The sequence below is a fragment of the Homo sapiens genome, chromosome 5, assembly GCF_000001405.40.
Source record: "Homo sapiens chromosome 5, GRCh38.p14 Primary Assembly".
NCBI lineage: Eukaryota > Metazoa > Chordata > Mammalia > Primates > Hominidae > Homo > Homo sapiens.
The window spans coordinates 159,567,572-159,590,570 of record NC_000005.10 but is presented as its reverse complement, the minus strand read 5'-3'; the positions used below and the strand labels follow the sequence as shown (position 1 = coordinate 159,590,570).

The 22,999-nt window shown below is 40.0% G+C and overlaps 1 long non-coding RNA gene across 2 annotated transcripts in view; it reads right to left on the bottom strand.

Moving 5' to 3' along the window:
* The window catches only part of LOC105377684 (uncharacterized), a 114,041-nt gene that overhangs the window by 39,047 nt on the left and 51,995 nt on the right, over positions 1–22,999 (bottom strand). Inside the window, exons 7-16 of one of the 2 annotated variants that reach the window (XR_941139.3) lie at positions 22,220–22,270; positions 21,861–21,939; positions 17,235–17,384; positions 14,404–14,467; positions 14,140–14,263; positions 13,525–13,725; positions 10,136–10,257; positions 6,854–6,971; positions 4,657–4,830; positions 3,645–3,705 (exon numbers count right to left, since the gene is read on the bottom strand). This is a non-coding gene — a long non-coding RNA (uncharacterized LOC105377684). Of the gene's footprint in view, positions 1–3,644; positions 3,706–4,656; positions 4,831–6,853; positions 6,972–10,135; positions 10,258–13,524; positions 13,726–14,139; positions 14,264–14,403; positions 14,468–17,234; positions 17,385–21,860; positions 21,940–22,219; positions 22,271–22,999 lie in introns of those variants that run through there. The other variant, XR_941141.2, reaches the window with a different exon arrangement.

Here is a 22,999-nt window from a genome sequence, read left to right as displayed (position 1 = left end):
AAGCAAATGTCTGCTCCTGTTTGGTGTGTGATAATGAGGGCCTAGGAAACCTATATCTTCTGTTTAAAAAAACACACACATATACACAAAACCAGAAATTGCATTGTCATATGCAGTCTCATGGTTTTAAAATGTGAGTGTCAAAAACAAGCAAACAAACCCACTGTGAAGGCAAAAACGACACAAAAGTAGAAAAAAAAACATTTTTTGACTCAATTTGACCCATGACCTCTGCACAGTATGGTGTATATGTTCAATTATGACTCTGAGTCCCATAATACTTTATTGTATCAATCTAATAGAGCTGCCGACATCCCATCGAGGGCCACTGCATAGTATCAGGATCAACATATTAGGATTGCCTGATTTGTGTAAACGTAAAGTCTACAGCCTGATGGGTGGGGGTAGAAGAGCCAGCATGCACACTGGTCATATCCAGCAGGGTTTACCAAGTATAAGAGCCCTGAGCTTCCACAGCTTCATGACACTTGCTTCCACTGTCCTGGCACTTGAAGGTGCAGTCTCGGACTGGGAACTCTGGACCTCATCCAAGATCCCATCCTCAGCACTGTTCTAGGTGGCTTCTGAGTGAGAGAGCATCCAGAACTTCAAGCCACACCCACATGAGCCATCACAATACCATGTAGACGGATTGGGGTGCTGTGGCCTCTTCTCTCCCAAAGGAATCTGTATGTGCCTATGTTGTGGTATATCTTAAGAAAATGTTTGGTTTAGTCAGATTAGATAGTTTCATATTGGATAATCTTTTGTTATGTCCAATAATTTTATAATAAATTTGAATCATTTGGAAAGCCCACCACTAGTGGGTTTACACTTATAATACCAAAGCCATGCAGCAAATGTAACATGATCCACCGATGGCCTTAGACTTCCAAACTTAAACAATGAGCCTTCCAAAAATGACCAAGAGGGTCACTCCAATGGACACTCAATGGACACTCCAATTCCCAGTTTCTTGCTTTTTTTCTTCTTTTTCTCTCTCTTTTATGAACACAGCTCTATTTTCTGGCTGCTCCAAGGTCAGAAGACCCAAAAGAGTCCAAAGTCATTAACCAAAGTCTTTCTTGTTCAGGGAAAGTGGTAGCCACATAAGGAGACCAAAAAGAAATGAAGTAGAAAGTCAGGAGTGGGGATGCTAGAATTAGGTCACTCATCTATATTTAATTCTGTTGGCTCTTTATGCAGCTTAACATTTACTTTCCATTTACCTCTGTTCGTTTTGCTGATAAGGAAGCAAAATTCAGACATTTTAAGTGCCTAGAAGGGAAGGATCTTCCAGTCACCATTTTCAATAAACTTCTTGGACACTCAGACACATACCTCAAGCTTAGTCCAGTGGAAAAAGATCTGGGATTTTTGCCACCCAAGTTCCCAGTGTTAGGGGCCCCCAGCTCTCATCATCTATCTTATTGGTTGTCCGGGTGCTTTGTTTTTTGCTTTGTCCTGCCTACAGCCAAGTTGGCACACTGTTACAGTTTCAGTTTGGGAAATGAGGGAGCGCGTGAAAGCGAACTTATGGGAAAGAGCATGTTGGAAGGAATCCTCTGGAAACTTACCCCGATTCCTAAAGGGGAGCCACTCCTGTCCTCTCCTCTGTGGTCAGGGAACACCCAAGGACATCAGCCTAGGCATATAGTGAGCTGTACAACCTGTGCTCCCAATATTCCATTTGAAAGGTGTTCTAGACTCTTTTTCTCAACCCAGGGCTGAATACCGTCTAAGAGATGTAGGGATGCATCAAACAAAGAAGTAAGGTAGGAGCCTTACAGCTCAGGAGACCCTAAAATTATCTCCACAGCTTGGAGGATGAAAGGGAGCATCATTCATACTCTTGCAAGGACAAAAGGTGTCAACTGACACTGTTCAGTGTGGCCACCTTCTTATGAACCAAGGAGATAAGCAGTCCTAACTCTGTTTTGGTCTTCGGTCCCTTTGAGAATGGGATAAAATGTATGAAATTTCTCCTTGCACATACCTACCCATATGTATATAATTTTACATAAAAATTCAGGAGTTCCAGATGCCCCCTTTATCTCATCCATTGATCCCAAGCTGGGGAGCCTTTTATAGTAAAGATAATAATCATCATCTATAAAGCCACTTCTTCCCAAGCTTCCATTAACTAATATTCTCTGCCTTGACATCATTAGGTCAGTGCTAATTTCTTTATGCCTCTTTTCCCAGTTTTCTTCTATCATTACAAGACACTCAACATTCCCACACCACTCCTTATGTCCCAGACTGCAATCCTCATGCAGCTCAGGGGCAGCAGGAAAATGACCCCTGCTCACTCTGCCATTACCTAGCGCTGTTGCCCAGCTTCATTTTTTCCAAAGTACTCAACACCACTTCATATCAGTTGCGTTTTACTTGCTTGACCCCGTTAGATATAAAGGTAGGGATTCCTGTCTGTTTGTGCACTGCTTTTTCATAAGTACGTAAAAATGGTGCTTGACATGTAACAGGCACTTCATAAATGTTTTTTGAATGAAAACCTGATGAATGGAAAACTAACAGTTATTGAGCTCCTACTATGTGCCAGGCATGCAAGTACTTTTACATACACTATTTCATTTTATCTTTGCAACAGCCTAATGATGGAAGGACTATTATTACTTTCAGTTTACAGACAAGGAGGCTGAGACTTACAGAGGTTATGGAAGGTTCCCAAAGACACAGAGCCAATGAATGGTGGAGCCAAGATTTAGACCCAACCATCTCACTCCAACATCTATGCTCTTAAGTACTGAAGTCTTACTGTAGTTTGAAGTCATTACATGAAATATTCTTAAGTCATGGGTTATTCTGTATCACAGATGGGACGTCTTGACTTCTGTTTTCTTTCTTTTCCCGGGCTGTTTTCTGTTTTCCTAACAGATTAAGAAATAGGCCAGGTGTGGTGGCTCAAACCTGTAATCCCAGCATTTTGGGAGGCTGAGGTGGGCCGATCACAAGGTCAGGAGATTGAGACCATCCTGGCCAATATGGTGAAACCTCGTCTCTACTAAAAACACAAAAAATAGCTGGGTGTGGTGGCGTGCACCTGTAGTCCCAGCTACTTGGAAGGCTGAGGCAGGAGAATCGCTTGAATTTGGGAGGCGGAGGTTGAAGTGAGCTGAGATTGTGCCACTGCACTCCAGCCTGGTGACAGAGCAAGATTCTGTCTCAAAAAAAAAAAAAGAAAGAAAGAAAGAAAGAAAGAAACCTTACCTGTTACCAGTTTCTCACAAATACACACACATACATACCCCATTTCTTTTCATAGCAAAATTGTAATGAGATTTGGAACACTGGACCTTGAAATATTTTATTAGAACAAGCATCTCCATGAAACTACACACCATTACTCACTTTCTACCACCCCCGCACAAACGATATCCATTTGATTGCAAGTCAGGTTGAAGAAACCCAGTGGTTGCAATTGAGCATTCACAGCATGTTTGGAATATAAGCCGAGGAGCCCAGCACACACTCAGAATGATGCATTGTGCCTGCGAGCCTGCAACAGCACATTCATTTCTCATTCATGAGGAGAATGGGACACTTCTAGAATGGGTCTGGGGCAGGTGACTGGGGTTGGACCGAAAGGCAAGCAAGTTGTCAACTTGAAAGGACAGACTCACCTTCTAAAATAGAGTTCTCACTGCCTCTAAGACGCTGCTGGTGGGGTAGAGATGTGAGTGCCTAAATCGCCAAGCAGAAGAAAAAAATCGTGCATGCAAAATCTGCATTAACCTCCACATTCTCATAAATACCAACCATGTATGTGCCAAGTAGTCATCCCTTGCTTATTTGTATTAGTGCGATTACTGAAGGTTCAAATTGAAATGAGCCCTTTCTCTTTTCCCCGAAGTCCTGGGGGGGGCTTGAAAGGGCCACATTAAGAAATTAAAAGTTTCTGATAAAATTCACTCATTTGATATTCATAGACATGCCAAGAATTGAGAAATAAAAGAGGAGAAGAGAAAAGGAAAGAAAACCAGAGCTCTCATTCTCCTGGGGCTGTACTTAAAGTACAGCAGTTATGCTTTCTAAGGAGCATAATGTTAGGACATTAGTGCTGAATCAGAGCGAGAGCTGTCATGCTGCTGAGCCATCCAAAAGGACCGGAGATGCAGAAGTAGATGCCCCAAAGCATCTTAGCTGCATCAAGTCTGATGACAGCATTTTTTTAGTAGGACCTCAGAAGTTGTGTGCCTCTCACTGGTCCTAGAATCTGGGATGCTCGCTTAAATGCAGATTCCTGGGTCTCCTCCTGTGTTTAAGAAATTAGAATAACTGAGAGCGGGGCCCAGGAATGTGCATTTTAACAATCTCCCCAGCAGAATCTGATGCTCACCTTCATTTGTTCCCTGGCCTAGTGAGCACTGCTCTAGATCTCTAGGCCTACAATTGAGATTAAAGGGTTCAGCTTGTTACTCTATATTCTTTTAACTTTGGTGATTTTTCTCATTGTGCTAGTTTAAAACCATCTACTCAGGAGTTAGTAGAGATTTTATTAAGAGCTTGGGATTCACAAATTTTTTTTTAAAAAAAAAGGTAAAAATCTGCACTTAGTATTTACAACAACCTTGGACAAGTTACTTAGTTCTTTAAGCCTCAGGCAAGTCGTGTTAGATGTGGAGTGATACTTACCTGTTGGTGTTGCTGAAGGAATTAAATGTGATAAAGCCTGTAAGGTGTTTAGTCTAGTGACTGGCATGAAATAAAATAATGATGAGGTGGCAGTGGTGGTGACACAGAGGCCCAGAGCTGGGGTGAGGGGGGCTGACAGATTCATGAGGAGTCCTGGTCTTCAGAATCTGAGAACTTGGCAAAATAAGAAAAGGGATGAGTAAGTTCATGTGAGGATGTTTGTCAGGGACAAAGAAAGCACCCTAGCTCTAGCAGCTCTACAAAATATATCCTTAGAACAAATCCAGCCTGCTCTCTGTTTGTAAATAAAGTTTTGTTAGCACACAGCCACACCTATTTGATTATACATGGTCTATGGCTACTTTTAAGCGGCAATGGCTGGGTTGAGTTGCAAGAGAGATCGTCTGGCCTAAAGAGCCTAAAAAAAAAAAAAGTCTGTCAATCCCTACCCTTAGTAAACTGCCAGGAGGGGCTTTTATTTTACACAGGAAGAGGGGCCCAAGAGAAGAAACTGAATCATGAGGAAAACAAAGGTGCCAGCTATGCTGTCTTGTGCTGCCCAGCAACACTCCACATACACACACTCACACACACAATACACCCCTCCATCACAATCCCCACGTGCCCGGGAGACTTCAAGGATTTGTCCAGTGTTCTCCTTCTGAGGGTTTCTCAGGACACCCATCTTCTAGCCTGGCCAAGGGGAAGGGGCATGAGGGTGAAAGCCATTATACTTAAACCCAAGCCTGGCCCTGCCACTAGCCAGCTCTGCAACCCTGGGCAAGTCATTTTATCTTTCTGAGCTTCAAGGTCCTCATTTGTAAAATGAGGAGTTTGGAGTTGTTTGAGCCATTTACTAATGCTACACATAGCCTAAGTTCAGGCCTCCACTGCAGGGTTATCAGTCTCAGTGTGTCTGTCAGAAATCAAGGAGTAGAGAGGTAAGAAGTTGATTTGGTTACTGGATATCTCTTGGTCCCTTTCCACATCAAGTTTCAGGCTTATACACTGGGAGTGGCATCCTTAATCTCTATCCAGTTTTGGATCTAGTGGCCAATAAATGAATGTCAATTTATATTATAAACTGAATTATGTCCCCTACCAGCACCCCCGCAAAATTCCTATCTTGAAGCCCTAACCTCTAATGTGATGGTATTTGGAGATATGGCTTTTAGGGAAGTAAGGTTAAATGAGGTTATAAGGTGTCCTAATCTGATGGAATTAGTGTCCTTACAAGAACAGGATACACTAGAGAACCCTCTCTCTCTGTGAGAGCCGTGTTAGAACAAAGCAAGAAGGTGGACATCTACAACTCAGGAAGAGGGGCCAGAGCAGAAACTGAACATGCTGGCACCTTGGTCTCAGACTTTCAGCCTCCAGAACTGTGAGAAAACAAATTTCTGTTGTTTAAGCCATCCAACCTCTGGTATTCTGTTATGGAAACCTGAGAAGATTAATACAATTAGATTCCAGGTGCGGTAACTTTGTAAGAAATAGCATTTGCCCAATCCTTTGCTCAAAGGCCTTCTTTTGCAGATGAGGATTAGAAAGAAGTAGTGGTAGACACTGAATATCATTATGTCCACCTGAATCTTTCCATCTCATATAATCTTTCTTTCATTTGAAGGTTTATTTTTTTAAATGAGAAACAGGAAAAAAAATGGACCTTGAAATCAAGAGGAATGCATTCTGATCCCAGCTCAATGGTATTGTGCAAATCAAGTCTAGCTTGAGAGTTTGGGGGTTGACCAAATCTGTGGTCAAAAACCTGATTCACCTTTAGATGTGTTACCTTGGTCAAGTTACTCAATCTTTCTGATGGACAGTTGCTTTATCTACAAAATGAGAATAATATCAGTAATTTACCAGGTCATGGTGAGGATTAGATGTAGTAGAGCATTGTAAAGAATGTAGCTAATAATTCCATGCAATCTAATAAATGTAGCATGTGAGAAGGCAGTTGTGCTAGTTATCTTTTGCTTTGTAACAAATTACCCTAAAACATAGTGACTTAAAACATAACTTAGTGACTTAAAACAAAAACTTATTATTTTATAGTTTCTTTGGGCCAAGAATCTATGCATGGCTTAGCTTACTGCCTCTGGTTCTAAGGTTTCTTACAAGGCTACAACTAATGTATTGGTCAGGGCAGCAATCTCACTCGAAGTCTTGACTGGGGGAGGATATATTTACTCACATGGTTGTTGGCAGGATTTGGTTTCTTGCTGTATTGAGGTCCTCATTGTCCTGTTGGCTCTCTCATATTCTTAGCCATGTTGCTTTCTCCATAGGGCAGTTCAAAACATGACAGCAAGCTTCCCAGAAAATTAATAAAAGAGAAAGAGTGTCCAAGATGGAAGCTATAGTTTTTTTGTAACTGAACCTTGAAAGTGATATCCTATGACCTTATACCACATTCTATTCATTAGAAATGAGTCACTAGGTCTGGCACATACTCAAGGGGATTGGCATTACCAAGGGTGTTACCAAGGGCATGAAGACCAGGAGGTGGGGATCCCTGAAGGCTATCTTAGAGGCTGCTGACCACAGGGGGGTAAAGTGTGAATAAGAGTAAAAACATACTCTGGAATAAGACTATACCCAATTCTCCTTATGAATGGAATTTCTCTACATGCTAAAATTTATTTGTAACTTTAAGATCAACACTCATGGCACATTTGTGGTCACTTGCAGGTATTCTTAGAGCAGCAAAAAATTTGAGTCACTCAACACAAGCATTCCTAGCTGAGGTGGGACAACAAAGTGACACTCTGCTTTTTTCATTTCAGCTCTCAGCCTGAGAACAAGTGTCTCTTTTGTGGTCTATTTAGTGCCCCATTTTTTCTCATTTTTATGCTTCATGATGGTGATTTTGTTGTTTAAAATGGTCCCAAAGCATAGTGCTAAAGTGATCCTAAGTAGAAGGCTGCTGTGTGCCTTACAGACAAAATATATGCGTAAGAGAAGCATCATTTGGGGATGAGTCACAGTGCTGTTGCTATAAGTTCAGTGTTAATGAATCAAAAGTGTATATTGAATAAGATATCTTTAAACAAAACATAATTAAAACAAGGTTATATATTGATCAGAGGCTCAAAGGAATCTAACCCTGTGTTTCCTGTAGGAGCAACTGTTTAGTACTTGTTAATTCAGTGCTCACAGCCACTTTATAGAACATAACTGCCACAAATAATGAGAACTGACTGTGTTTGCGTAAAATCAACTCCACCACTTGCCCAGCTGTGCCATCCTGGGAAAGCTTCTTAACCTCTCTGTGTTTTATCTTTATTAAGAGAAAAACAGGGATACCATAGGACCTACAGCCAAGGGCTTTGGGGAGGATAAACTGTGATGTTCCTGGTACAGCAACTGGCACACAGCAAATGCTTAATAAATAGGAGATATTATTATAATTATTATTGTCTGAGTTCAGTTTCTTCATGATCATAGCAAATTTTCCGGAAGTGTACTTTCTTCTATTCTGGGACAGTATCTGGTGCAGAGTAGGCACTTATGAAAGATATATTAAATGAAATAAGAATTCTCTGATCATATTAGGTGGAAGATCAAAAGCTGGAAGAAAGCAAGTTCCTCTGTTCCTGGTCTCTGGGTTTGATATTACCATTGTGGCTGGCAGGGGTGGGAGGGCGTGAAACATTATAAAAACTCTCTCATTAGAACCCACATCAAGACACTAAATCCATAGCATTGACAGACTGTTGACTCACCTCCCCCTGGAACCCAGAGAATGCCCAGCAGATGGAAATGTACCCAAGACGAAGAAGCCGTGGTATTTTCCCCATGTCACCAGGCGTGAAGCCAGAAGTGGATTTGGCAGTAGTATACAATGGGATTAATCATCTGTAAATAAGTCACCTACGTTGCCTTGGAGATGATTTTTTCATCTCTAAATGCCAAGTCATCACCATAAGAACTGAGGTGTGACATCCGTACGGCCTCTGGGCTTGGTATCTGACCTTGCATTTGCAAGTTGCTCTTCAAGCTGTCTTTCCTCAAAATGGAAAGCATTTGGGAGCTGTCCACTACAGACTATCTCAGGGAGAGTGTGTAGGTGGATTTCAGGGGCTACAACCATTAGTCCTCTCTTAGGAAGCCAGAAGTTATGCAGGAGGGTTATTGGTGGCACAGCTAAAGGAGAGTGTGCATTGTATCCTGTTTCTTCATGGCATCCTGATGAAGCTGTGTGACTCAGAACCAGTTAATTTCTCTGAGATTTAGTTGTCCTCATTTGTGAAATAGCATCTATTTTGCAAAGCCTATGGAAACTGACCCAGATGAAGGAGAAACTTAAGCATATTCTTGGTGGAGTCATATCGCCACCTACCCCTTCTTCTCAGGGTTTAGTAATAGCTACTAACAATAGCTAACTTTAATTGAGCACTTATCTTGTCCCAGACATTATCTCATCTACTCTCCCCTTAACACTATTGTTATTTCCATTGAACAGATGAAGGAACTGAGACACGGAGATGTGAAGTAATGTTTCCAAAGTCACATAGCTAACAAGTCGGGGAGCGGGAATTTATCCCCAGCCTATCTGACTCCAGAGTCTGTGCTAACGTCTAGCAGCTTCCCTTAAAGATATCTGTATTTTAACAAGGGCATCTTGGAGACAACAAGATACATGCTGGAATTTCAGGTGGAACATTCGGCTAGTGAGAAAGACATCTGCAGAAAACAGGCCCTGCAGCACGCCTTACCCATGATTATCTTCCTCTACTTGAGAGCTGACCACAGTGCAATCAAACTAGAACTCAGGGTTGAGAGCTGACCGCCTAAAGTGGGATTGGAAAATTAAACTCACTCATTATTTCTTCCTTCTTAAATAAAGGACTATGATTAATTTGGTGTATTGAGCTGTGATTAACTCTGAGACTTTAGGGTCTCAGAGTTTACGGGGCTGAAGTGCAAGGGCAGACGCCCCCCAAATTCCACAGACCCTCTCCCACTCCCCAGCTTTATTTTTCAGCATCTGCTGGGCCTTGTCACTACTCTTCCCAACAATTTCTGAGCTAGCTATAAAAATCTCCCATTTTACAGACAAGAAAGTGAAGGCAGAGCAGTTACATGACCTAACAAGATAGAAAACAACTAATAGATATAACTGGGATTCATATCCAAGGGTGCCTGGCTTCAACATCAGACCTCCCTTTCCCGACATGGTCACCCCAGAAGGCTTCCCTGATGCTGCAAACCTAGGCCTTGTGCCAAAAGGCTTCATGAGTCTGGCTGCTACTAGGTGGCAGCTGAAACTGTGGAGTGTGCGGTGTGGCTGTGGAGTGTGGCAGGTGATGGGTGTGCCACAAAAAACAAAATCCTCTCTGGAGACAGACAGAAGATGTGGCCTGGAACACCAGCTCACATGTATTAGGGGCTTAATGTGACTCGGGTTGTAAGTTACCTTTTATCACACCAAGGAGAAATGGAACTCGAAAGATTCTTGTGCCAGAATTCCTACCTTGGATGTCAACCACAGTTTTGAAGAATGTTTCTTATTCACGTCAAAAAGGTCAACTTGTAGGCCAGCACCACAAAAATCCCTTCAAACATGGAATATCTTTCAAGCATTAATACCTTGAGCTGGAAGCAATAGAGATTTTTTTTGTTTTATTTTAAGACATAGGACAGATTCTGACACCCAACCCTAGAGCAATTTGGTGCCTATTGAACCAAAAATGGCTGCAGCAGCACGCACTGGTGCAAGTATAAATTGAAATAACATTCTGGAGGACAATTTAGCAATATGGATCAAAGAGATTAAACATGTGTGTAGTCTTTTATCCAGCCATTCTGCTTTTAGGATTGTAGTCTAAGGAAACAATGAGATATATGCACAAATGAATTCATCACAGCATTATTTTTATTTTATTTTATTTTTTCCATAAGTTATTTGGGTACAGGTGGTGTTTGGTTACATGAGTAAGTTCTTTAGTGGTGATTTGTGAGATTTTGGTGCACCCATCACCCGAGCGGTACACACCACACTATATTTGTAGTCTCTTATCCCTTGCTCCCCTCCCACCCTTTCCCCCAAGTCCCCAAAGTCCATTGTATCATTCTTATGCCTTTGCATCCTTGTAGCTTAGCTCTCACGTAACAGTGAGAACATATGATGTTTGCTTTGCCATTCCTGAGTTACTTAACTTAGAATAATAGTCTCCAATGTCATCCAGGTCACTGCAAATGCTGTCAATTCATTCCTTTTTATGGCTGCATAGTATTCCATTGTGTGTGTGTGTGTGTGTGTGTGTGTGTGTGTGTATGTATATGTATGCGTATATATATGTTTATATATGTGTGTATATACATATATGTTTATATATGTGTGTGTGTATATATATGTGTGTGTGTATATATATATATATATATATATATATATATATATATATACAGTTTCTTTATTCATTCGTCGACTGATGGGCATTTGGGTTGCTTCCACGATTTTGCTATTGTGAATTGTGCCACTATAAACATGCCTGTGCAAGTGTCTTTTTCAAATAATGACTTCTTTTCCTCTGGGTAGATACCCAGTAGTGGGATTGCTGGATCAAATGGTAGTTCTACTTTCAGTTCTTTAAGGAATCTCCGCAGTGTTTTCCATACTGGCTGTACTAGTTAACATTCCCACCAGGAGTGTAGAAGTGTTCCCTGTTCACTGCCTCCAGTCCAACATCTAATTTTTTTTATTTTTTTATTATGGTCATTCTTGCAGGAGTAAGGTTGTATTGCATTGTGGTTTTGATTTGCATTTCCCTGATCATTAGTGATTTTGAGCATTTTTTTCATATGTTTGTTGGCCATTTGTATGTCTTCTTTCGAGAATTGTCTACTCATGTGCTTAGCCCACTTTTTGATGGGATTGTTTATTTTTTCTTACTGATTTGTTTGAGTTCGCTGTAGATTCTGGATATTAGTTCTTTGCCAGATGTATAGATTGTGAAGATTTCTCCCACTCTGTGGGTTGTCTATTTACTCTGCTGACTGTTCCTTTTGCTGCATTGCAGCATTATTTAAAAAAGAAAAATAATAGAAAAAATCTACATGTTCATTAATAGGGGATTTATTGTATTACCCATTGTGATTAAACTAGACAGGCACTAAAACCTCCTGACTTTCCCTCTCAATCTTGCTTCTCCTCCATGGCTCCCCATCTGGTTGATGACACCCTCATCCATGCAGGTGCACCAGGCAGAAACCTGGGTGTTCCTGAACACCTCTCTATCCTTACTTCCCCTCCCCAATCAGCCACCAAGTCCTGTCTGATACAAATGCTAAAGAGATCTCAAATCTGTCTCTTTTTTCCTGTGCCCACTTGGCACAAATGGAGTCCAAACCATCAACCACTGTCTCCTGGATACTCTTAGATGCCCAATATCCACCCAGAGTCCCCAGTTCTAATCTCTACATGCTTCCATAGCTAGAGTTCTTTTAAAGAAAAATCTGATGATGTCTTCCTTGCTTTCGTCTCAAAGCCTTTCCATTGTACTTGTGATAAAAGAATTCCACCATACGCTCAGCCACAAAACCCCATAGCAGAGGTCAGCAAAGTTTTCTGGAAAGGGCCAGATAGTAAATATTTTAAGCTATGTGGACCCTGCAGTCTCTGTAACAACTATTCATCACTGCCAGCATGGTGTGAAAACAACCACAGACATATAAATGAGTGGGTGTGGCTCTGTTCCAATAAAATTTTATTTACAAAAACAGGTGGGGTGCTGGATTTGGCCTCTGGGCTATTGTTTGTCAACACTTGTCTTGTAGGATCTGGCTCCTATTTTTCTTTCTAATTTCCACAAAGCCATTTCACCCCCATCTAGTCACTGTCTCCTCATCAGGACCTCAGGCAAGCTGTTCCCTCCACCAGCAATTTTCCTTTCTATTCCTAGCGTGCCCCTACTCTACCCCTCTAGGACCAACACATTCACCCCTGGCCAGCAGTTTCTGACTAGTCTAGTCTCAGCTTCAAAGTTTTTCTTTTAGGTTCACTCCCTACATCCAGACTTCCCAATTCTTCCCGAAGACTTAGTACTTGTTCTTTGCAGAGCTTGTGAAATTTGAGATTAAATAATTCTTAATGCAGTTGTGTGTTTATATGTCACTTCTGCTAGACCCAAAGTTCTATGAGATAAGGAATTATGCCAATTATTGATCACGACTATATTCTTAGTGCCTGGTATGGTGCCTGACACATACAAAATGCATTAAATATTTGTGGAAATGTTGACTGAATAAATGATCACAAAACTAGAAAGAAAAGGGCCTGTATAGATATAATGAAATATTAGAAGATACATGTATAAGTGATTTTTATTTTTTTCTTATACTTTCTTCCATTTCTCAAATGTTTCACAAAAAGCATATATTATTAGCCTACTCAGAAAAATAATTAATGAATGGAGAGAAAGAGAGAGAGAGAGGGAGACAGCCCTGCTTCTGTGTTCAAATAACCAGTGAAACAAGCCCATTTTTGGCGCACCCTACGTGTTGAACCATCACTTTTCTCTGCTTGTCCAGAGCTGCCTAATAAGCCCCTCTACTTCCCTTCGTATTGCCTTTACCTGGTCATTTTTCATTTTCTATAGGTCACTTCCTCAGATCCCGGAGCATCTGTGTATCTGGGTACTGATGTGAGTTGAGCCACTGCTTCCATTCCTGTGGCAGATGGGCACTAGTGTACATACACCCACACAGCCTAATTGGCCATCTAGGGCTTTCCAATGCCAAGTTTAGGAAGGGGTTAAGAGATTAACTGCTGCCATGTGAAATGACAAGCACCTGCAGTTTCGCAATGCAGAAGCTGTCCATGCAGATGGGAAGTGGGACAGCTAACTTATTTATTTCACTCACCAGTAGCTCAGCTTCCAACATCTGGTCATTTCCATGCTAGGCTGGTCTCCAAGTGGTACACGGGGGCAGCAGGCCACATGGCGACCATGTTCCAATGTACTCATCCGATAATTCCCTCCGCATTCGAGAAGAAGCCAATGAAGATGAGACTAATTATTATCTCCAAATAGAGATAGCATTTTGGTCATCTTCCAAAAAAATCTATGTGGGTAGAATAAGGGGGAAGTCAATAATTGACAAAAATGTGTGGGTTATGTAATGGATTATGGGCCTACAAAGAAGTAAAAGATCTATCACTGACTTTGATTTTTTAAAGTTCCAGATTAGATGGATATTCAACATAATCATATGGAAGGATAAGCAACAACACAAGGTAAGATAAATAGCAGCCGTAATTGTCAAACAAGTGATAGTGACAGTAAGTGACATGGCAGTCACACTCCTTCCAGTTCTGCGAAAGTCAAGGCCATTACTTCACATTCTTAAATTTCATGGCATATCGGAGTGTCATTGGCTATAAGTAACAGAAAAACCCAACTTAAGTAAGAAAGCAAGTATCATATCATATTTCAGAAGTCCAGAAGTAGGGCAGGGGCTGGTAACTTAGCAACTCACAAAGTTATCCTGAATCCTGCTTTTTCCATCTCTTCACTTGGCCATCCATGATTGTTTCAACCTCATACTTGGAATTAAAATAGCTGCAGCAATTATAGGCATGACATTCCTTTCTTATGGTTTTCTGTTTGGAATGAGGAAACTCTTTTTGGAAATCCTTCAGCAGATTCCCCTAATGTTTCATTGGCTGGAGTTGGATCATTCACCCCATAAGCCAATCTCTGGCAAAGGGACCAAGACGACCCTTGGACCAATTAGACTCACCAGTGGAGCTAGGTGTAGGGTCAGCTTCTCCTGAAGCATGTGGTTACATGGGAGATGGCTTTTGCTAGGAAGGAAAGAAAATGAATTCTAAGCAAGCAACCAGTACTGTCTACCACTCATGGATAATTTCAAGGTGAGAAACATTTTACACCTGCAGAATCTGGTATTGCAATGACTTTTCCAGCTTCATCTCTCACTGTATAAGTCCCCATCACACATCCTAGACCAAGCAGACTGTAATTCTCTCAGTTCTTCGAGAGCAATGTGCTTTCTCAAACCACTCTGGAATGAATTATTTCTGTTTCTCAACTTTAGGCTAATCATACATTGCTGTTTGCCCAGAATCGTACTGGTTTACGCTGGTTATCTTTGCATTATTACTAATAGTGACCCTTTTTCATAAGCCTTCCAACGTGGATAAGAACATGAAAAATATTTAGGAAAGGGAAGGGAAGTGTTTGGGATTGGTTGTGGACAGTCAAGGAGAGAAAGGAGTTTAGAATGACTCTCAGGCATCTGACTTGGGAGGTTGGGTAGGTAGAAATAGAAGTCATCAAAACAGGAATCAAGGAGGGGAGATTGTTTTGGAGGATATGTTAATGAGTTAAATTTTGGACTTAGGACATAGCTGGGTACAGATGACCAGGTAAACGTTAACTACGTAAGTTCAGAATTCAAGAGAGAAAGATATCATCTGGTGATAGAAATGTGTGAAATAGTATCACCCTGTAATCCCAGCACTTTGGGAGGCCAAGGTGGGTGGATCACATGAGGTCAGGAGTTTGAGACCAGCCTGTCCAACATGTGAAACCTTGTCTCTACTAAAAATACAAAAATTAGCTGGGTGTGGTGGCCTGAGCCTGTGGTCCCCCCTGCTTGGGAGGCTGAGGCATGAGAATCACTTGAACCTGGGTGGCGGAGGTTGCAGTGAGCCGAGATTGCGTCACTACTCTGGGCAACAGAGCAAGACTCTGTCTCAAAAAAAGAAAAAAGCAATATGTAAAATAGCATCTAGATACCTGAAGAAATAGTATCTAGATACCTGAAGTCATGAATATGAAAGAGATGACCCAGAAGAGATGTGGAATTAGAATGTGCCCACGGTAAGACTCCTGGTAAGGCCAACATTTAGAAGTTGTGCAAATGGGAGTGGAAGCAGCAATGGAGACTGGGAAAAACTGACCAGAGAGAAAATTGGGGAATCAGGAGAGTAGAGGCATGGAAGCCCAGGAAAATGAGAATTTCAAGAGGAAAGGAATGGTTGGTGAAGTCCCTAGTGTTACAGAGAGCTCAGATAAGGTAAAGATAAAAAAGAGTTTATTGACATCAGGAATTCATTGGCCACCTTTCCTGGAGCATTCAGAAAACAGCATAGAATTATATCATTTTAGTATGAAAGACAACATCATTAATGACCTAGTTTTTTATGAGAAAATGCTCTTTTCATAAGATTAGTTAAGATTTAGTGGCAGAGCCTGGACTGAAACTGCTAACCCTTGACTCATCATTCATGGAATTGGCCTATCACATTGTGTTGTCCCTTTCTGTGTGCTGAAACTGTAGAGACTGGTGAAAGTGGGAAGCATGCAGGATCAACAAAAATCAGTGTCCAACAATCTGGACTAACAATGTGACTTCCTCTTCTCCCCATCTCCACTACTGCTGCCTTGACTGCAACCACGATCACAACACTCCTGGACTGCTGCAGTCGCCTCCTAACTGATCTCCCTACTACCTCCAGTCCATATTCCTCACATCAGCAAATGCATCATAGTACTTCTCTGCTTAAAATGCTTCAAGGATGTATATTCTTAAAGTATAATAAAATAAATAAATAAATAAATATAATGGTGCTAATATTAACCCAGTGGCATTGTTGTGAAGATTAAATAAAATAAAAATTTAAGAAAAAAAATGCTTCAAGAAAGCACCAAGGCAGTTCAAAGCGAGAAAGGAGCTGGCTCAGAAACAACTGGATAAACATCTGAAAAAAACAACAACTAACCACTATAATGGCCAAAAATATAATTCAAAATGAATCATAAATCCAAACATAAAAGCTAAAAGTGTGCTGTTTCTATTTTAAAACGTTAAGAAAGTCACTCACAACCTTGGGAAAGGCAAAACAAAAAGCACTAATGATTAAAGAAAAAAATCAAATGGACTTCATCAAAATTAAAAGCTTAATGCTCATCAGAAAACACAGTTAAGAAAATGGAAGAGGCTGGGCATGGTGGTTCACGCCTGTAATCCTAGCCCTTTGGGAGGCCGAGGCTGGAGAATCATGAGGTGAGGAGGTCAAGACCAGCCTGGTCAACATACTGAAACCCCATCTCTACTAAAAATACAAGAATTAGCTAGGCATAGTGGCACAGGCCTGTAATCCCAGCTACTGGAGAGGCTGAGGCAGGAGAATCACTTGAACCTGGGAGGCGGGGATTGCAGTGAGCCAAGATTACACCACTGCACTCTAGCCTGAGCAACAGAGCAAGACTCTGTCTCAGACAAAAAAAAAAAAAAGAAGAAAAAGTCTTAGAGTGTGGGAAAATGTTTATATATATATTATATACATAATATATATATTATGTATATAATATATATTATAATATATATTATCTATATTATAAAATATATATATATTATAATATATATTATATATAATCATTTTACAAATCAATAATTAAAAGACCAAAACCTCAATTAAAGAAACTTTACAAAACACGTCACTAAAGAAGACATATGTAAGGACAGAAAGCAAATGAAAAGGTGCTCTAAGTCATTAATTATCAAGGAAAGGCAAATTAACATTTCAATGAGATATTATCTCATACCCATTAGGATGGCTAAAATCAAAAAAGACGGACAATCCAAATGTTGACAGGGGCTTTGGAAACCACTGGAACTCTAATACATTGCTGTTTGGAGGATAAAATGGCACATCTACTTTGGAATACTGTGGGAAGTTTTTTATAAATATGCACCTATCAAAAAAAAAAAAACAAAATTAGAAGACTTATACCATATAATTTCAAGACTTACTATTTTAATTAAACAGTGTGATAATGGTGTAAGCATAGACATACACAAAAATGAGACAGAATAGAGGATCCAGAAATAGAATCACTACATATGGTAAATTGATTTTTGATAAAGGTGTGAAAGACATTTAATGAGGAGCAGGATAGTCTTTTCAATAAATGGTTCATGAACAAGTGAATATACCTTTACAAAAATGAACCTCACACCAGATACAAAAATTAACTCAAAGTGGATCATAAACCTAATCATAAAACTAACATTATAAGACTTCTAGAAGAAAACCTTGTGACCTTAGGTTAGGGAAGGATTTCTTAGACAGGACACAGGCATTAACCATAAAAGGAAAAAAAAATGATAAATTAGACTTCAGCCAAATAAAAATAAATTGCTTTATAAAATATACCGTTACAAAACTGAAAATACATGCTACAAACTGGGAGAAAATATTGGCCAAACATATCTCTGGTAGAGAGATATGTTTGTATACAAAATATAGAAAGAATTTTCAAAACTCATTAACAAGAATGTAATGTAATTTTTTAATGTAAAAAGATTTAGGCAGATGTTTCCCCAGTCTATGAGAATGACAAAAAAGCATATGAAAAGCTCTTCAATATCATCAGTCATTAGGACAATGCAAAATAAAGCCAAGTGAGAAAAATGGCAAAGTAAGCGTCTTTGAAAATTCCTCTGTAAAAGCAATGAGAAAACTTGCAATAATGGTCAGGATTAACTCTTTCAGAATTCTAGGAATTAACCAAAGTCTTGTGTGAATCTGGGAAGCAGTTATTCAAGAAAAACAGGTGAACCTTATGAAGAACAATGAGCTTTGTGGCATTGTAAGTTGACCTACTCCCATCCCCATTCTCCAGCTTCACTTTAGCCTTGAAAACTAACAGCCCCACATCACAGTGAAAACCAGCAACCTGGCAGCCACTGGAAGGGGCAGAATAGGTAGGGTTAGAGCTCCTTTAAAATCCCACTCCCAGAGAATTGTCATTTGACCTGTCTGGTGGTTCCCTGGAAGACTTCAATAGCAAGGCTGTATTTATTTACCTGAGTCAGAGCGCAGCCAGTGCCTCCCTGGGGGCATTTGTCAGAGATAGTTACTGGCAGCTGCTTATCATCATGGCTGTCTGAGGTACTGGATAAAGCTTGGGCAAACAATTGATTAACCAAAGAGCCTAAAGGGAAAATCTGAGGAATGAGATGTCCATAGGGGCTCTGAAAAGCTCTGACATATTCCTGAATATCTAAGAAGCCATGTGCATGGGACAGTGACAGGAAAGGCCTGAGAAGGCCCTAAGCTCTCACTTCTGGCTGACCATGAGGCTCCATGAAAGAGAAAATTGAGGGCTGAGGTGGAGCTGTCAACTCTCTTGCTAAGTGTTCAGAGAATGCTCCTGTATTCACACATAGCTGCTTTGCAAAAACTGGGTGACTTATTTGTTCTAGGCACTTAAGACAATATTTGCACAGTCATTAGCTGTCCAGTAAGCTAATTAAGCTGTGACTTCAGTGGCCACCCTCAACAAAGAATGCAGATTTGATAGAATTAGGTCAGTAAAGTTCATTAAACAAACAATAACTACAACAGAAAGCAGCAACAACAACAAAAAATCCTAGAAAGGGGAGAGAAACTGACTTCCAGATTTGCAGCATTATGTTATTTAAAATAACAGTTTTCAAAAAATTATGAAATATGTAAAGAAATAAGAAAATATGACCCATATACAGGGAAAAAAAGCAAACAATAGAAACTGTCTGAAAAAGCACAGACATTAGACTTACTAGACAAATAATTTAAATCAGTTATTTTAAATGTCTTTAAAGAACTAAAATATGCCATGTCCAAAAAACTAAAGGAAATTATGAGACTAATAGCTCACCAAATAGAGACTATCACTAAGGAGATAGAAATTATGTAAAAGAACCAAATACAAGTTCTGGAGTAGAAAAGCATAATAGCTGAAGCGAAAATCCACCAGAGGGGCTCTACCACATATGTGAACTGGCTAAAGAAAGAATTTGCAAATATTAATTAGCATCTTGATAGGTCAATTGAAATGACTCAGTCTGAAGAATAAAAAGGGAAGAAAATGGAGGAAAATCAACAGAACATCAGAGACCCATGAAATAACACCAAGCATACCAAGAGATGCCAAATGGGAGTGGGGACAAGGTAGGTAAGGGGTAGAAAGAGTATTTGGAGAAATAATCACCAAATTTTCCATTTGACGAAAAAAAAAAACCAACAATGACATTAACCTACATATCCAAGAAGCTCAACAAACTCCAAGTAAGATAAAGCCAAAGAGACTGACACCTAGAGAAACCATAATCAAATTGTCAAAAGCCAAATCAAATAACATTCTGCTACACACTAACTAGAATGGTCAAATTTTATTTTATTTTATTTTATATTTTTAGTAGAGATGGGGTCTCACTATGTTGCTCAGGCTAGTCTCAAACTCCTAGGCTCAAACAATCCTCCCTCCTTGGCCTCCCACAAACTGCTGTGATTACAGGCATAAGCCACTGTGCCCGGCCTAGAATTGTCAAAATTTAAGAAGGTTGTGAGGCCCCTGGAACTCTCTGGCATTGCTAGTGGAAATGTAAAATGAACAGCTACATTGGAATATATTTTTCACTTTCATATAAGTTAACATATACTTAGCACATAACTAAGCAATTTCACTCTTAAAAATCATATTTAAATATTTATAGCAACTTTTTTCATAACAGCCCCAAACTGAAAACATCCTAAATGTGTATCAACTGATGAATGAATGGATGAACAAATGGTATCATATCCATACAATGGAATACTACTCAGCAATTTAAAGGAGTGAACTAGTAATACATGTATCAATATGGATAAATATCAAAAGCATTATAAGTAAAAGAAGTGAGACATAAAAGACAGTATAACATATGATTTCATTAATATATGAAAGTCTAGGAAATGTAAAACTGTGATGACAGAGAGCAAATCAATGACTGCCAAGGACAATGAGTAGGGGAAGGACATTGATTGCAAAGAGGCATGAGAAAATTTGGGGAATGATGTAAAAGTTCTATATTATGATGGTGGTGATGGTTACACACTGCATGTATTTGTCAAAACTCATCAAATAATTTACTTAAAATAGGGTGAATTTTATTGTATGTAAATTATACCACAATAAAGCTAATTAATTCAAAACATAAAAGAAAATAATAATATACCTAGTCTGTGATCCAGCAATTCCACTCCTAGTTATTTACCTAGGAGAAGTCCTCAAAAAGACTTATATAGAAATGTTTATAGCAGCTTTATTTATAATGGCCAAAACCTGGGGGCTGGGGGAAGCCCTTCAACAGAATGGATAAGCCAATTATGAACATTTATACAATAGAATGTTACTTAGCAATACAAAGGAATGAACAACTTGGATGAATCTCAAAAACACTATGCTGAGGGAAAGCGAGACACAAAACAATACATAGTGTATGATTTTATTTATATGAAGTTAAGAATAGGCAAAACATATATATGGTGATGGAAATCAGAAGAGTGATTGCCTATTGGGGGTGGTAATTGATTGGAAAAAGGCATAAGGGAACTTCCTGGGTTGATGGGAATATTCTATGTTGTGACTAGGGAATTTGTTGTAGGGCATATGGACTTATCACTCCTGGTAGAATGGCACACTCAAGCTCTGTACATTTCAGCATATGTAAATTTCATAAACTTCAAGTGATCCTCATTACACTTAGAATAAAATCCAGACTCTATGGAGACTTTCAGGGTTCCAGCCTGCCTTTCCAATTTACTTTGTTCCACACTATCTTTCCCTGACCATCCTCCAGGCACCTCAAGCTCACCCCAGGAATCACAGCCTTTGCATGTGTTGCCTTCTTGTCCTGGGTGCTGTCCCCTGCTTCTTCACATGGCTGGGCCATCCTCATACTTCAGGTCTAAGACTAATGCCAGCTTGTCTGAGAGGCTTTTCTTGACTGTACCTGAAGTAGCCCTACTTGGTTGTCTTCACCCTTAGTTTGTTTCTCTCATAGCATTTATTAATAATCCTTGCTATTTTTTGGTCAATCTACTTACTTTTGCCAGCCCATAGAAGGTAAGTTCCCACCTCCATAAATAGTATAGTTTAGTATTTTGTTGTTGTTGTTGTTGTAGGGGTGAAGAGGATGGAGGTTTAAAATTTGTTTTAATTAAAAAGTGACACCCATCACTTTTTTCTCTAAACCTGTCTCAAACACTTTTCATCCCTGTTGGTCCTGACTTTCCAAATTAAACTAAAAGTTTCCAAAGGTAGGTGTTAGATTTATTTATTTCTAAATGGGACTCCCTAGACACTTACATGGTTTGCTCTGATTTGCTACAAAAGCCTTACCTGCCCCCAAATTGTTGAGCTCACCTGCTACTATGTCAGAATATCAGAATCTTCAACCTTAAGGGTCCCTTTCGGAGTCAAGACAAAATATCATTAGAAGACCCTGTGGAAATACAAATATACTCTTGGGGGTGGACTAAAATGTTGTCATGTAGGTATAATGATTGATATCATGTGAAGTTTATGTCCCCCTAAAAATTCATAGGTTGAAATTCTAGCTCCCAAGGTGATAGTATTAGAAGGTGGGGCATTTTGCAAGGTTCCACCCTCATGAATGGGATCGTTTCCTTATAAAAGAGGCCCAAAGAGGCTTGTTTGCTCCTTCCACCATGTGAGGACACAGTGAGAAGGCACCATCTATGAATCAGAAAGCAGGCCCTCACCAGACACTGAATCTGCCAGCATCTTGATCTTGGACTTCCCAGGCCCCAGAACTGTAAGAAAGACATGTCTGTTACTTATAAGCTACCCAGTCCATACTATTTTATTACAGCAGCCCAAACAGACTATGATGATTATTATTAACTCTCTTTTACTCTCAAACGTGTCCAATTTTGGATACTAAATTATAGATCACCCTATCCATCAGGAAATCTCATTGACATAGTGGCACAGAGGAGAAGTGAGCCTTGATGAGGGCCAGGGGACAGCTGCGCTTGGAGGGGAGACAGGCATATAAAGCTAATAGGAGGTATCAGGTGTGCAACAGGAAGGCACAGGAATGGGAAATGGTGGACAACAAAAGGACTCCAGAAAGGGAATAGGAGATGTTCTGGAACAGGAATCATCAAGACAAACTTTGCTACTTCACGATTTCGTCAGGTGCCAGTTCAGCCTGCAACACGCACAACCCATTTATCTTTCCTCGCGGCAAAGGTGATTAGCACCAGACTTGTCCAGGAGAAAGTTAATGCATTTTAATAATTTACATTCTACCCACAATCCTTGTTTATTCTAGCAAAGGAGTTAGGGGCATCTATTTCAACACTTTAATTCTTTGAGTCATTTTCCAGTAGTAGCTGAAACTGTGCACAGGGTAAGCCCTGAGGGATGGGCTGAAGGGAAAATCCTCCATGGAGCTGGGTGAGCAATCGTTCTCAGGACAAAATGTTGGCTAGAGAATCCCAGTTTCTTGGTCCCTCAGGGAAAGTTAGTGCAATTCT